The 12672-nt window shown below is 43.7% G+C and overlaps 1 long non-coding RNA gene across 1 annotated transcript in view; it reads right to left on the reverse strand.

Moving 5' to 3' along the window:
- LINC00114 (long intergenic non-protein coding RNA 114) overlaps window positions 1–2186 on the reverse strand; it is a 34457-nt gene extending 32271 nt beyond the window's left edge. Inside the window, exon 1 of the long non-coding RNA NR_027065.2 lies at window positions 2158–2186. This is a non-coding gene — a long non-coding RNA (long intergenic non-protein coding RNA 114). The remainder of the gene's footprint in view (window positions 1–2157) is intronic.
- Between the last annotated feature and the right edge of the window lie 10486 nt (window positions 2187–12672).

Below are 12672 nucleotides of genomic sequence, written 5' to 3' on the forward strand. Positions count from 1 at the left end.
TAGAGAATTAGCAGTGGATAGAATTGAAATTATGTCTCATTTCAGGTGTGGTCTTCACCAGGTCTCACTCATTGGCCTTAATTGTCAATTGAATTGAAAGGGGGTCCTTGCAGTCAAGGTCAGAATTTGGGAGGCTCAGAAAATCAAGAGCTGATTGCTGTCCATGGACAGATGTGACCTTTAGGTGTTTGGCCACCCAGCCCAGTTGACTTGGATGAAATGTGTAGAGAGGCTAGAGCCACAGACTTTGGTTAAATTTATCTGATAGGATTCTGAATTCCTTCTGTGTTATCTTGAATTGCTTTGAGTTTTCTCAACACAGCTATTTTGAATTCTCTGTCTCAAAGGTCACATATCTCTTTCTCCAGGATTGGTCACTGATGCCTTATTTAATTCATTTAGTGAGGTCATGTTTTCCTGGGTAGTGTTGATCTTGTAGATATTCTTTGGTGTCTGGGCCTTGAAGAGTTAGGTATTTATTGTATCTTCACTGTCTGGAGCCACAGACTTTGGAATCAGACACACCTGATTATACATCTCAGCTCCTCCATTATTCACTCTGTGACTCCAGACATGTTACACCACCTCTCTGAGCTTCTAATTCCCTGCATCCATAAAACTAGACAGTCATACTTAAATTATTGAATCATTGTAAGGTTTAAATTAATTAATGGAGACAAAACATCTTACTCATAATAAACACCAGTAGGTGTCAAAGGGAGAGAGTGTCTTTTTTATCTGAGCATTTGTACTGAAATGAGAACATTATGATAGCAGTGGATAGCAAAGTCAAAGTAACCATAATTTTTAAATATCCCCTAATGAACTGACCATGTAGAGAAATAGTTGACACTCAAACCCCCTTCACATCTACCATCAGCCTTAATGGTAGTCTATTGGGTCAATGTCTATGCCAGTCTTAGTAACAAATGAAAATTGAAAACACTGCAAATACAGTGCAAACTGATGACAACATGAAACTCCAAATCTTGCCTATGATATAAGGTTCCCTGAAGTTAAAGAAAGTGATGGAGGAACTACCATGATTGTTCAGTGTGCAGTGAAAGCTGATGTTACTGTAATAATCTAAAATTCATTAATAAAATCCCAAATTGGCTGGGTGCTATGGCTCATTCCTGTAATCCCAGCACTTTGGGAGGCTGAGGCAGGCAGATCACTTGAGGTCAGGAGTTCGAGACCAGCCTGGGCAACATGGAGAAGCCTGGTCTCTACTAAAAATACAAAAATTAGCCTGGTGTGGTGGCACACACCTGTATTCCCAGCTACTTGGGAGGCTAAGGCAGGAGAATCGCTTGAACCCAGGAAGCAGAGGTTGCAGTGAGCCAAGATCGTGCCACTGCACTCCAGCCTGGGCAACACAGTGAGACTCTGTCTCAAAATAATAATTATAATCCCAAATTACTTCTTTTCTTACTTTAAGTTTTATTTTTCAAGACAAAGTTTCAGCTGTCACACTGCCCTTGTTGGTTCTGTGAAATCATGTTCCCCATTTTAAGTAAATTCACTTTTCAGTAAAAATTACTCTTTGAAGACAGAGGTCTATGTATATACAAACTTACATGTGTCATTTCACAGAATAAGGAAGAAATGGTTTCACAAATTATATTGCATCAATGTGAACTCTCTTTGGGCACAAACACAGGATAAACATCTGTCAGATAGGATTAAAGTGCCTGTGTGCCACTGAGGAATGGGATGAAGAGAGAAGGAAGATAATAAGAAGAGAAGGCAAGAAGAAGAAGAAGAATCAAACAGACAGAAATGGAACTTCCCTCAAAGGTGGTGCAGACCTGCCTGGGGCCCCTGAGAGCAGGAAGGCTTTCCTCCTGAATCCAGCAGAGCTCTTCTCACCACGTGGCCAGAGTCTGCCTTCTGCATGAATGTCATTGCCTAAGTGACTTCGAGATGCAGATGGAGCGTGGTTTCACCCTCAGTCTCTCCTCCTCTGGTTCACGCCCATGTCTGATTCCTGGGCATCGCTTTGCCTCAGAAAGCCACCTCCAGTCTTTCCCACCCACTTCCAATTTGCCCTTGCCCCTTCCTCCAAGCCAAGGCAGTGGTTGTATAAACATAGCTGTATGTACAACACTCAGCTTTTACACTGGTCTCCATTGAATGAGTAATCGCATTACCAACCTTCTAAGCAAGTCGGCTCCCTCAGGACTGCCGTCTTCCAGCCCTCGTAGTACGAAAATGATTCATTAGTCCCTTCATCACAATAACATGAGTCACATGTTATGAAAAGCTAGGAGGATGTATTTTGTGTACACTGAAATCTAAGGTTTGCAAATTTCTGCAATTTAACTTTATTGAGGAGGGAGTGGGGTAGAAATGAATTCCACATTTTTTCTAAGTACGAAAACCCACATCAGGCAACATCTGCTTAAGTCAGTCTCCAAGGACTCAATGTAAACGGTTGTTGATATAAATAGATGTGTTTTTAAGCAAAGACAGATGTCCCAGCCCCAAATGTTAAGAAAACAATTAAGTTCAAAGACATGTTGGTTTTCATTTCTTTCCCAATAGGTGAATCTTCACTGGGCTATGACAATGAGGGGTGGAAGAGAGAACACTGTGTTTCCCTGTGGAAAGGTGTGTTGTGCCGTGGGTGGCAGGTGTGAGCTGCACACATGCAGGATGGCGTCCGCTTGCCTCCCTAGTGTTGCTCGAGAGGCCTGGGTCATGACGCCTTCCCTTACTCATGCATTCTCACGGCACTTGCTGATTTATTTGAAGACTCCCCTATTCAGAACTCCTCAGAATATTATTTCAGGGAATACTAAGTGGGAGGCATTAGGAAATAAGTCCCCGGAATTTGGGGGTCCATGGGAGAAGAAACTAGAAGCCAGCAGGACTCTGGAGCAAGAGTGGGCTATGGGACAATGGTCCTCAGTAGGAACGGGCCTGCATCTCGTTCTCCCAGAGCAAGGATCTGAAATCCAAAAGATGATCAACAAATCTGCATTTCGGCAGGAGGAACATTCCCAGTGAGCTTATCAGGAAAGCTAGCACCAGGCAGAAAGGGTCATTTCTACACAGAGAAATTCACATTGTTTGTGTCAGGCACTTTGCCAGAAAGCATTTTGACAAATTCCCTCGTTGAATGTGAGGGATGCAATGAAGAATTTAAAGTTTCGCAGGAATTAGTGACATAAGGCAAGTTCACATTTTGACCATACCACCCTTTACATGGTAGAAAATTCTACCCCATATGCCCAAAGCAGGTCTTCCCTTCCTTCTGAGAAGCCGAGGCAAAGACCTTCCTGGCCTTTGGGCCAAGCTTTCCCAGGAAGGGAAGGAAACTGTAGCTGCTTTGGAGGGTTCCTCGGACTAAATTGGGGGTGCCAATGCTAGAAGATAACACAGGCTGGCAGGCCACTCCCCGCCCCAGGCCCCAGCCAGAGCATCCCAGGCTCCATCCCAGGCCCCATCCTAGGCTCTGTGGTACAGGCAGGGGGAGGATGGCTAGTACCCTTCACCCCGAGGGCATGGCCGCCTTTCTGACATCACCTGGGAGGGGGCACCCCGGCTGGCCGAGGTTTAAGGTAGAAAAGCCTAGCTCCTTTGTTGTTTGTCATGAAGCCAAATGATCTGGAACTTGGTTCTTTCTCAAATGGTCAGAAAAAAATGTCAAAACAAAGCCCCCATCACAAATCACCTCAGGACACATGTCACACTCTTCCCGGGCCTGAGCACTATTAGTGATTAGAAACGACCACTCAGTTGTGAGCACACAGGCTGGGCAGGCTGTCAGAAGTTGCAAAAGCCGTCACTGGTTGTGTCAGGCGGATACCAGAATCAGTCAGCGATCTCAAAGTCTGGTGTCCATGCTGCCAGACATCTGTGAGTATTAGGATAAAATGTCATATTAATCAGACATTCACATGAGGCCACAAGCAACGCTTGGCATTTGTAGATGTAGTGTAGATAGATAAGCCACCCCATACTCTCTTCCTGGACACACAGGAGGACCACCTTTCCAAGCCTCCTTTTCCTCCCATTGGGTTCTGGTGAGAGGTGTGTGGGCAGAGGTGATGGGAGTCCTGTAGACTTGGCCATAAAGCACTCTGAGTGATCTTTGACACACCTTCTTCCCCTTCTGTGACAACCCTGGAGGCTGTGTATTGACCATGGTGGCTTCACAAGACGTAAGGAGACTAGATCCCTGGGTTATCACATGGAGAAGAACCCAGCAGAGCTGCTCAGGCTGTATTGGAATGGGGATGAGGGGAAGCAAACCTTTGTGACATTACAACACTGAGATTAGGAGATTGTTAGCGCAGCTAGCATTTACTATTCTGATGCATGCACCTTGTTTCTGGGAAGTACGGATGGATACCACCAAGCAAGGTGCTTTGAAGTAGTTCGTTTATTGGCATTTTCCAGACCAAGTGTATAGTTTAAAATCAGTCCCCCAAAAAATCACAGTTGGGAAGAGAAAGAGAAGCCCGAGAATGAAAGGAGTATGATGCTGCTCACTTTGGGACCGAGTGCCATTAGATTCCTAGAGTAACAAGAAACTGAAAGGATTACTCAGTTCATTCTCTAATTCTGAGCATAGCTGTGCCCAGATCATCCTTGAGGGACAGTCTGTTCCCTGTTCCCAAATGCAGCCAAGCATGAAATTCCACAGCCCAGACTAGTAATTTAGTGACTCGAAACCCGGGCCCCGGGAGCTCTTTCTGAGGGCCAATCCAAGCCCCTTGCTGGGCTGTATCTTGCTCCCATTTCTCCTTTTCCCTGAGGAAACAGACTGTTGCTTACAATTTTGATATGGTGTGTCTGCATTTATTTGATTACTAACATCATATGAATTCCCCATCACTCTTTATTCTTGAAGTAAAATAATGCATTTCCCTTAAATTTATTTAATCCATCCAGCAATTCCTGACTATGCAGCCAGCTCTACTCCAGGGAAGAGAAGGCTCAGTCTCTCCCTTCAAAGAGGTAAGATAGACACATTAAAAAGTTAACAGGATATTGTTACATGTTACAATGAATGGGAAGGACCTTGTGAAGAAGAAGACATGAGCTCCAATCTGGAGGGCTTCCCAGAGGAAGTGGGCTTCCAGGGGCCCTGAAAGATGCTAAGAACTTAGAAGAGTCAAGAGAGAAGTTAGGACATTAGGAGAGAATTCTAGAGGCCAGGATGAATGTGGGGAAGGATGGCGAGAAAACCAGCTTGGTTGGAGTAGAAACTTCCACTGGGGAATGGACAAGAAGGGCTCGAGGGGAAGAAGAGTAAGAGCCAGTCTTGGAGGGTGTGGTAGGTGGAATAATGGCCCTCCAAGGGTATCCAAGTCCTAATCCCTGAAACCTGTAAATATGTGGCCTTACATGGTCAAAGGGACTTTGCAGATGTGATTAAATGCAGGACCTCGAGGTGGGGAGATGATCCTAGATTATTCAGATGTTCCCAAAATGTAATCACAAGCATCTTTAGAAGGGAGAGACAAGTCTCAGACTCAAAGAGAGAGATGAGGTAATGAAAGCAGAGGTTGGGGAGAGAGAGTTCAAGATGCTATACTGCTTGAAGATGAAGGGGGGCCCTGAGCCAAAGGATGCAGGTACCTGTAGAAGCTGGGAAGGGCAAAGAAATGAATTCTCTGCTGGAGCCTCCAGAAGGCATGCAGCCTTGCAGATACCTTGCTTTTAGGAATTCTGACCTCTAAAATTGTAAGATCATATATTTGTGTTGTTTTAAACCACTATGCTTGTTGTCATTTGTTACCATGGCCAGAAGAAATGAATGCAGACAATTTCAAATTTGAAGCTGATGAGACTTTAACCTGCCAAAAAATCAGAGTCTTGGACTCAGAAGGTCTTTCAACAGAGTCATGAAATCAGTCATTCTTCATGTGTGTGTAGTGTGAGCTCTCCTTAAGTGCCACAAAACACATCCTTGCCCATATTGGTCCCCAAGAACCCCAGCGTGGATGACAGTGCATCACACAGATGAAACTGGTAGAGTATTTTCTGGATGAATGAGCAAATAAGCAGTAAATGCTGCAATCTCTCTCTGGTTGAAGTCCTCAATTCCTCTTGCCTGAACCATTTCAATATCCACCTCATAAGCCTCCAGGCTCCAATCTTGTCTCCATTCCAACCTGCTGCCAGGGTCTTCCTCTCATGCAAGTGGTTATGTACATTTCATCCAAATAAAATTCAAATTCCTTAAAATAGCATATAGCTCTTTTTGGCTTCCCTGGGCAACATCAGAAGAAGAATTGTCTTGGATCACATGTAAAATATATTAACACTAACAACGGCTGATGAGCTAAAAAAAAAATAGTCACACAAAAAAATATCATAATATCTTAAAAAAGTATTGGGCCACATGTGGTCTGTGTGCTGTGGGTTGGACAAGCTTGGTCGAAAGCCTTCTATGGCCTCAGTCTATCACTCGAGCAGAAACCACCAACACCCACATGCTTTCCTGTCTGCGTTGGCAGAACTTCACTATTAAGTTGCCCTCTCTAATATGACTTTACTATTCTAAGAAATCGTTGCCCAGGAAATAAAAGTTACTAATTGTATTGTTTCAGGAACTTCCCAGAAAAACTAATTTAAGTGATTATCAAACTACTCAACTCTTCAATAACTAGTATCAAGGATTATTTACTCTCCAATACACTTCTGAGAACCCTGCCTTAAAACCCTCACCTTGCTGTCTTCACCAATCCTGAACCATTATATCATGATCCTTAATCCTATTCAAACTTCTTTCCCCATTGAAAGACCTGCCAAACCCCCTAAACCTTACAAATAGCCCAACTTTGTCATACTCACAGAAAATACTATGCAGACTTTGTTGAGATAGTTGTGTTGCTTACCATGGGAAGCAGTAAACTCAGCTTTGCCTGACCAGCAGGTTGTTGGGGTGATGTTTTTGGGGAGTCAGTACTGGACACCTAAGTAAACTTGTTACTTCATGCTTCCCTCTTCTAGAAGGCAGAATAATGGCTGTCCAAAGATGTCCACATCTTAATCTTAGGAACCTGTAAATATATTTCCTTACATAGCAAGGGGGAATTAAGGTAGCAGATAGATTTAATGTTGCTAATCGGCTGACTTTGAAATGATGAGATCATTGATACAGCTTGAATATATGTCCCTGTCAAATCTCATGTTGAATTGTAATCCCCAGTGTTGGAAATGGGGCCTGGTGGGAGGTGATTGGGTCATGGGGGCGGATCCTTCATGGCTTGGTGCTGTTGTGATAATGAGTGAATTCTCAGGAGATCTGGTTTTTAAGTGTGTGGCACCTTCCCCCTACTTGCTCTCTCTTGCCCTCATTCTCACCATATGAGATGCCTGCTCCATCTTCTTCCACCCTGATTGGAAGCTTCCTGAGGCCTCCCCAGAAGCCAACCAGATACAGTCACTATGCTTCCTACATAGCCTGCAGAACCGTGAGCCAAATAAACCTCTTTTCTTTATAAATTACCCAGGCTTAGGTATTTCTTTAGAGCAATGCAAGAATGGCCTAATACAATTATCCTAGATTCTCCAGGTGGGAACCCATGTAAACACAAGGATCTTTACATGTGGAAGGGGGAAACTGAAAGAGTCAGTGTCAAATCGATGAGATGCAGGAAAGACTCAACCAACCGTTGCTGGCATTGAAGATGGAGGATGGGGCCACAAGCCAAGGAATGGGCAGCCTTAGAAGCTGAAAAAGGCAAGAAATGCATTTCTACCTGGAGCCTCCAGAAAGGAATGCAACCCTGCCAACACCTAGATTTTAGCCTGGCAAGATCTGTATTAGACCTCTGACCTCCAGAACTGTAAGATAATCTTGTGTTGTTTTAACCCAGCAAATGTCTGTTCATTTGTTTTGGCAGCAGTAGAAAACCAGCATATCTCTCCTTGCTGATGCTCCTTTCTCCATCTGAAATCTCAATCTGATCTCACTCTTCTGCCTGTTGAAATCCTGCCTACCCTTTCATTTCAATGGCAGATCCACCTCCTCCAAGATACACTTCCCTGAACACCCCTTTTCTGAATTCTATCAGCATCTGGTTTGTTCTCCTTCATTATTTATTATTTTTATTTTTTTCAGATGGAGTTTTGCTCTTGTTGCCCAGGCTGGAGTGCAATGGTGCGATATCGGCTCACTGCAATGTCTGCCTCCCAGGTTCAAGCGATTCTCCTGCCTCAGCCTCTCGAGTAGCTGGGATTACAGGCATGCACTACCATGCCCGGCTAATTTTGTATTTTTTTAGTAGAGACAGGGTTTCTCCATTTTGGTCAGGATAGACTCAAGCTCCTGACCCCAGGTGATCTGCCCACCTTGGCCTCCCAAAGTGCTGGGATTATAGGCGTGAGCCACCATGCCCAGCCTGTTCTCCTTTATTTTATACGATCACATTTACTAGGGTATGTAGCGTATATCTTCTATGTCTTATAAATAACTTTTGCACAGCTGAATGGTAAAGATTTGTCTATTCTTTCAATGTAACCATACCATTATCCCTTTAGCTAGCTAAATAACATCCATGGTGGGTACAGAAGTATCCTGACAGAAGTCATGTATTTGAGGAATGAAATGTAAGTTCTTCATTAATTAAGGCTGGGAGAATCTTCCTCTTTTGGAAACTAATATATCAACTTGAAAGTCAATTCTAATAAGAAGGTTGAAAGAATGATATGGAAAGGAATTTGTGAATAATAGAAAAGAAATGAAAAGAACACTTTCTGTAAGGCTAGCTTCTCCACTGGGCATCAGGGCTGTTGCTTTGAGCCTATAGCTTTTCTAGCGCCTATGAAAATATTTGAAAGCCTAGACAAGAAAGAAACATCAGGAAGTTAAAATAGGTTCATCAAATGTCTACAAAATGTAACCTTATCTCAACTCATTAACTGAATTTTGCATACATACAAATTCCATTACATTTGCAAAAAATGTGTAAGTTTGTTTTTCTCACTTCATCAGAATTCAGAATTCTCAAGCATGCACCAGGAACGAAAATAACTACTTTTCGCCAACTAATTTTGAAAGCAATGTTTTCTCTTAATTGTTTCAAATTACTTTACATTTGAAAATATTTAAGATGAGAAGTAGATGCATTTTAACATATGTGATGGAATGTATCATGGAGCCTCCAAAATTGAGAGACCCTACAGCCTACCCAGGGCTTAAAGCAGCCCCGTTAGTTACTGGGCAGAAAGGAATGGGGTGTGGCTGACAGGTAATGTGGATGATGGTGGTAATAACAGTGACTCATATTCCTTGCACACTTACCATGTGTCCTTTATTTCTTACATCATTTTTTAAAAATTGAGGGCTGGGCGTGGTGGCTCACTCCTGTAATCCCAGGCCTTTGGGAGGCCGAGGCGGGCAGATCATGAAGTCAGGAGATCAAGGCCACCCTGGCTAACACAGTGAAACCCCGTCTCTACTAAAAATACAAAAAATTAGCCGGGTGTGATGGCAGGCGCCTGTAGTCCCAGCTACTTGGGAGGCTAAGGCAGGAGAATCGTTTGAACCTAGGGGGCAGAGGTTGCAGTGAGTCAAGATCACACCCCTGCACTCCAGCCTGGGCAACAGAGCAAGACTCCATCTCAAAAAAAAAAAAAAATTTGAGGTAAAACTCACGTAACATACAAGTAAGTATTTTAAATGCACAATTTAGTGCATTCACAGTGTTGGGCAGCTACCACCTATCTCTAGTTTCCAGTCTTTTTCATCACCCCAGAAAAATTCCCCATAACTGTCAAACAAGAACTCTCCACTCCTTCCTCCCTTCAGCCCCTGGAAACCACCAATCTGCTTTCTGTTTCTATAGATGTGCCTATTCTGGACATTTCATATAAACAGAATCATACAAGTGACTTTCTGTTTCTGACTTCTTTCACTTTGCATGTTTTCAAGGTTCATCCATGTCGTAACATATGTCAGTTCTTCCCTCATTTTTTGGCTGAATAATATTTTGTTGTGTGTATTTTGGGCTACTATGAATAATTCTGCTGTGAACATTTGTATACATGTTTCTGTATGGGCTTTTTTTTTTTTTTTTTTTTTTTTTTGAGACAGGGTCTCACTCTGTCACCCAGGCTCTGGAGTGCAGTGGTGCAATCATGGCTCACTGCAGCCTTGAACTCCTGGGCTCAAGTGATCCTCCCACCTTGGCCTCCCAAGCTGCTGGGACTACAGGCATGTGCCACCATACCCAGCTAATTTTTGTATTTTTTGTAGAGACAAGGTTTTGCCACGTTGTCCAGGCTGGTTTTGAACCCCTGAGCCAAGAGATCCACCTGCCTCAGCTTCCCAAAGAGCTGGGATTACAGCCTCGAGCCACTACTCCCAGCCACATTTTGATTTCTCTTAAGTATACACACTGGGAGTGAGACTGCTGGATCATATGATAAGTCTGTGCTTAACTTTTTGAGGAATGATTCCTTTCATCTTTTCAACAGCAATATGGGAATTGGAAATCAGTGTGATCATGTGCCCAAGGTGACACTCCCATAAGAGGTGGAGTGGAATTTACAGTCAAGCCATTCTGATTCACAGCCCCTGTCCTTGCACTCAGTCAAGATGTCTCGTTAGTGTACATGAAATAGAGACAGTGGTGGGAGCTGAGGGCTGCACGCAGGGCACAACAAGAGGTAGAGGCTAGCAAGCGTAGGATGTGCTCAGGTGCATTCAGAATCGAGGACTATGAGGGTGGACAGGGGCCAGATTCTTGAGAATCCTGAAGGACAGCAGAGTAGGAAGCCATGGCTCCAAAGTCAGGCAGCCAGAAGTAGATGGGCTTTGAGGACCAATGGTGCCAGGGTGTGTCATTGGGACCTTCTAGGAACTCAGGTAAAAAATGATGGCCAAGAGTAGGCAATGTTAGAGAGTTCATCCTCAGGCACAGACAGGGCAAAGTGTGCAGCACCGTGGACTGCCTTTGTGACTTTTATGATTAGATTGAGAGAATCACCACCTCTTAGCAGAGAGAGCAACAAACAATGCAAACAATGCAAACACAGACACACAAAGAAGGAGAAACAATAGCCCTCATCACCACAGCCCTAGTGGTGGCAGCAACTAAGGAAATTATATAGAGAAGTTGGAGGAGCCTGTGCAACCAGCAAACAGAAATGTTGTGAACCCATTGAGATGTATGGACTTTCCCTGACATGCTACCAAAAGTTTGTCATTTTAGGAGCCCTGAAGACTTCTTGAAGATCTGATGTGCAGGCCTAGATCTCAAGCTTATTTATTTTTCTGTTCTTCTTCTTGCATATTAAGATGGATGCTTTTCTTATTAATTTTCAGCCTTGCCCTTTTTCCCCAATATGTATAAACAATTTCAAGCTATAAATGTGCTTCTAAGTTCTGCTTTAGCTGCACGTCCTCTTTCTTTCTTTCTTTCTTTTTTTTTTGTGAGATGGAGGCAGGAGTGCAGTGGCGTGATCTTGGCTCACTGCAACCTCTGCCTCCCAGGTTCATGCCATTCTCCTGCCTCAGCCTCCCAAGTAGCTGGGACTACAGGTGCCCGCCACCACACCTGGCTAATTTTTTGTATTTTTTAGTAGAGATGGGTTTCACCATGTTAGCCAGGATGGTCTCGATCTCCTGACCTCATGATCCACCCACCTCGGCCTCCCAAAGTGCTGGGATTACAGGCGTGAGCCACCGTGCTCAGCCTCCTTTTTCATATTTAGTATTTTCCTAATCATTCAGTTGTAAATATTTTAATGTCCATTATGATTTCTTCTTCCACCTTTTGTTTTGATTATCTATTGCTGCATTCCAAAAAAAAAAAATTAGCTTAAAATGACAATCATTTCATTCTATCTCATGATATTGTGGGTCATGAATTGGGACAGGCTTCAGCTGGATGATTCTCCTGCTCTTCTGAACATTAACTAAGGGAACTAGTGATCTTCAGCTGGTAGATGGGCTGGTCTGGAGGGTCCAAGGACTTTCACTCACATGTTGGCATCTGGGTGCAGATGGCTGGATGGCATGCTCAGTGAGACTGCTGGACAGTGGCTACCTCTGGCCTCTGCAGCTTGGCAGGCTCAGGATGGTTGGACCAACTCAAAGCAGCTCAGATCCCCAGAGAGAGAGGAACTGGCCAGTCTGGGAATTGAATCTAGAAATTAGCAAAGCACAATTCCACCATAGTCTGTTGCTTGAAGCAACACAGAAAGGTCTCCCAGATCATTGGAAGGCACACAGCTCCTGCTGCTGAATGGGAATAGTGGAAAAATATTTCTGATCATTCTTTTTGGAGTGAATTGTGTCCCCCAAAAATTCATATGTTGAAATCCCCCAGAACCTCATAACATGACTTTTTGCAGGTAGGGCCTTTATAGAGGTAATTAAATTAAAATGGGGTGGTTAGGGTGAGCTTTAGTCCAGCATGACTGGATTAGAAGAGGAGTTTCTGACACAGACACACAGGCACAAAGCCCATGTGAGGACAGTGAGAAGGCAGCCATCTGCAAGCCAGAGGGAGGCCTCGCAAGGAATCAAGCCTGTCGTCACCTCAATCTTAGACCTCTTGCCTCTAGAACTGTGAGAAAATAAGTCTAATGTTTAAGTCACCCAGTCTGTGGCGTTAGTTATGGCAGCCCTAGCAAACTAATACATTATCTTTAATCCATACATTAATGAATTCTTCATAATTACCTTTCTTTTTCTTTTTCTTT

Source organism: Homo sapiens, chromosome 21, assembly GCF_000001405.40.
Source record: "Homo sapiens chromosome 21, GRCh38.p14 Primary Assembly".
Taxonomy (NCBI): Eukaryota; Metazoa; Chordata; class Mammalia; order Primates; family Hominidae; genus Homo; species Homo sapiens.